This window comes from Homo sapiens, chromosome X, assembly GCF_000001405.40.
Source record: "Homo sapiens chromosome X, GRCh38.p14 Primary Assembly".
Classification (NCBI taxonomy): Eukaryota; Metazoa; Chordata; class Mammalia; order Primates; family Hominidae; genus Homo; species Homo sapiens.
In genome coordinates this window covers 66,380,711-66,383,396 of record NC_000023.11, presented here as the reverse complement: position 1 = coordinate 66,383,396, position 2,686 = coordinate 66,380,711, and positions in this window count along the sequence as shown.

Here is a 2,686-nt window from a genome sequence, read left to right as displayed (position 1 = left end):
CTTGTTGAGGGGGCTGAAATACCACTGGTGTGATAATGATGGCAACTGGGGTGATTATTAGGATCAATATCCAGTAGAAGAGGCTCTGGATGGTCTCCAGTAGAACAGGGACACAGAATTTACACCACAGTCGAAGTGATTCTGCAGCATTTAATGCCAAAAGCTAGAGATGTTGAAAAAGGGAAAACATCACCAGTAAGCCACTTTTCCCCCAAAGTTTAATGGTCTGAAGATGGGAATGACGGAATGACATGGGATCCATGCTCCTCAGATTGGTGAAGAGGTTGACCTCACCAGGCTGCTCAGGATTACGGTCTAGTGCAGATTCAGTAGTGTATCCCACATCTTTTCCTCTATTGGTAAAATCTTAGGTGGCTCATTGAGAAATTTCCCAGGAGCCCATGGTGATGAGACAGTCCAGTTCAAAGGAAGGATTTCTTCCAAGTCATTGGGGAAGTGGATTCTATCAAAACATACCTCCCAAATCTTTAAATGGTTATTCAGATGCTTCGACATTCACTTATTTTGCCTCCAGCATTGGATAAATTGTTGAGTTCTTCAAATGGGGTCTGTAGAAACTATAGCAACAAGTTGGGCCCCATCAACCTGTCTGTATGGAAGACTACTGGCATTGAGCAGGACTAGCAAAAGGAACCAAGCATAAAAATGCAATGGAAAGAATATGGAGTTTGGTTTTAGATAGTTCTCCATTCAAATTGTATCTCTGCTACTCACCTGTCATGTGATATTTAAGCCAAGTGTTTCATCTCTTTGAGCATCAGTTTCTTTATATGTCACATAAAAATAATGTCTCCTATATCACCAACTCTTATGGAGAATTAAATAAGATAAATTTACATAAACTACAAACATAGTACCTGGCATATAATAAGTACTCAATCAATTTTAGTAACTTCTGTCCTCACTTCCACTTCATATTAATTTTCCCTTCATGCACCCTAAGTCTCATTAAGTTTTAGTTCAGTGAAAGAATAGAATTCCAGGAAGGTCAAGAGAGTTACTCAAGGACATATAGCTAATAAATAGCAGAGGCAAATCAGGGCCAGAGACTAAGTCTGGCTAACTGAAGTTCCAATATTCTTTCCATTATGCTTCAGAATCTTTCATAGATTATGAGATTGCCATGAATCTCATCCAAAAACAGCAGAGTGCTGACAAGTGTGGGCAAGCTCATTGGCTGGATGGCAGTCTCTATTCTACCTGCCTTCAGGAACCCTGCAAGGCAGAAAAACAGAAGCTCCAGAGGGGACCTATACTCAGTTTCCTGAAGAACTGGGCATGAGAAGCCTTGGATCCCAGCTTTGCCAACCAGGGGCTATATTGCCAATAGCTTTCAAGAACACAGTGGAGAGATTTACTTAGTTAATGACCCTTCATGCAGCCATGAACAAACAAGTTCTGAATTGCCCCCCACTTGTCTGTATCACTGAGTATAAAATGAGAAATTACAGGGAAACATCATGCTCCATTAGAATTAATTATTCTCCAAGAGGATTTTGGGGAGTTGTAGTTAAGAGCTACCTCAAAAAAGAAGCCAATAAATGAATACTGCCGAGTTAATGAAAACTACCACAACTAACAAAATAAAAGTAAAATTTTCAAAATTTCCATTAAGAACAATTAAAAAGCAACAAAAATATATTAAAAATGAAGTAGAACAAAAAGCTAGAAAGCTAGAAAAGCATTTCTGGGTGATTTGGATAGCTAAGTAGATGGAAAAACAACTTCACCTCCTCCTGTTTCAATACCACCACACAGTACACACTTACATGACTCAAACACATAAATACACACAAAACACATTCACAGTCCACAAAAATTCACAATGCTTTGTAAGGCTAGAGAAAGTCCCTGCTAAAATTAATATCATAAAATTAATGCCATAGCAACTATGATTTGGGCAGCCCGAGCTGCAAGTCAGGCTAACTTTTAGAGTTTGTTTAGATCTTCCCTGGAAGATTTGAGAAAATGGAATAAGAGAAAATAAACACTAAAAGTTACCCCGGAATCAGTATCACCAGTTATTTAACTCATAAAATATTTATTTTGATTATGCCATTGATTTAAAACGTATTGAGCACCTATGCTATATTATGCACCATGTAAGTCATGAAAAACACACAAGAATACAGTTCCCATCCTCAATGAGCACACAGTCTTTAACAGACAGACTTGTAAACACATTTAACAACACAAAGTAAATAAGTGTTAATTATAAATATGAGAAAGGTGTTGAGAGAACAAAAAGAAAAGAGAGATTAGTTCTTTCGGAAGAGAAATCATGAATAGTTCCACTGTTAAGGTAACATAAACACATGCCTTCAAGTATCGGCAAATTTCACAGGCAGAGAAAAACGTGGGTTAATATCATCCTAGGTGGAAGAAATAGCATAAGCAAAGGCTCAAAGATAAGACAAGTGATGGCATGTTCAGGATATAGTTAATTATGGCTACAAAATGGTGTACATATGGACAGAAAGGTGGTTATAGATCAAATAACAGAGGCCTGAAATGGCACATTATGGAGTTTCAACTCTATCTGTTATATAATGAGGAAACATTATAATGTCTGAAGTGACCAAGTGAACTGATGTTTTCAGATTTGATACAAGGAAGATACCTCTGGTTAGAGAGGTGAGAGATTGGAGGCAAGGAAACAAGTCAG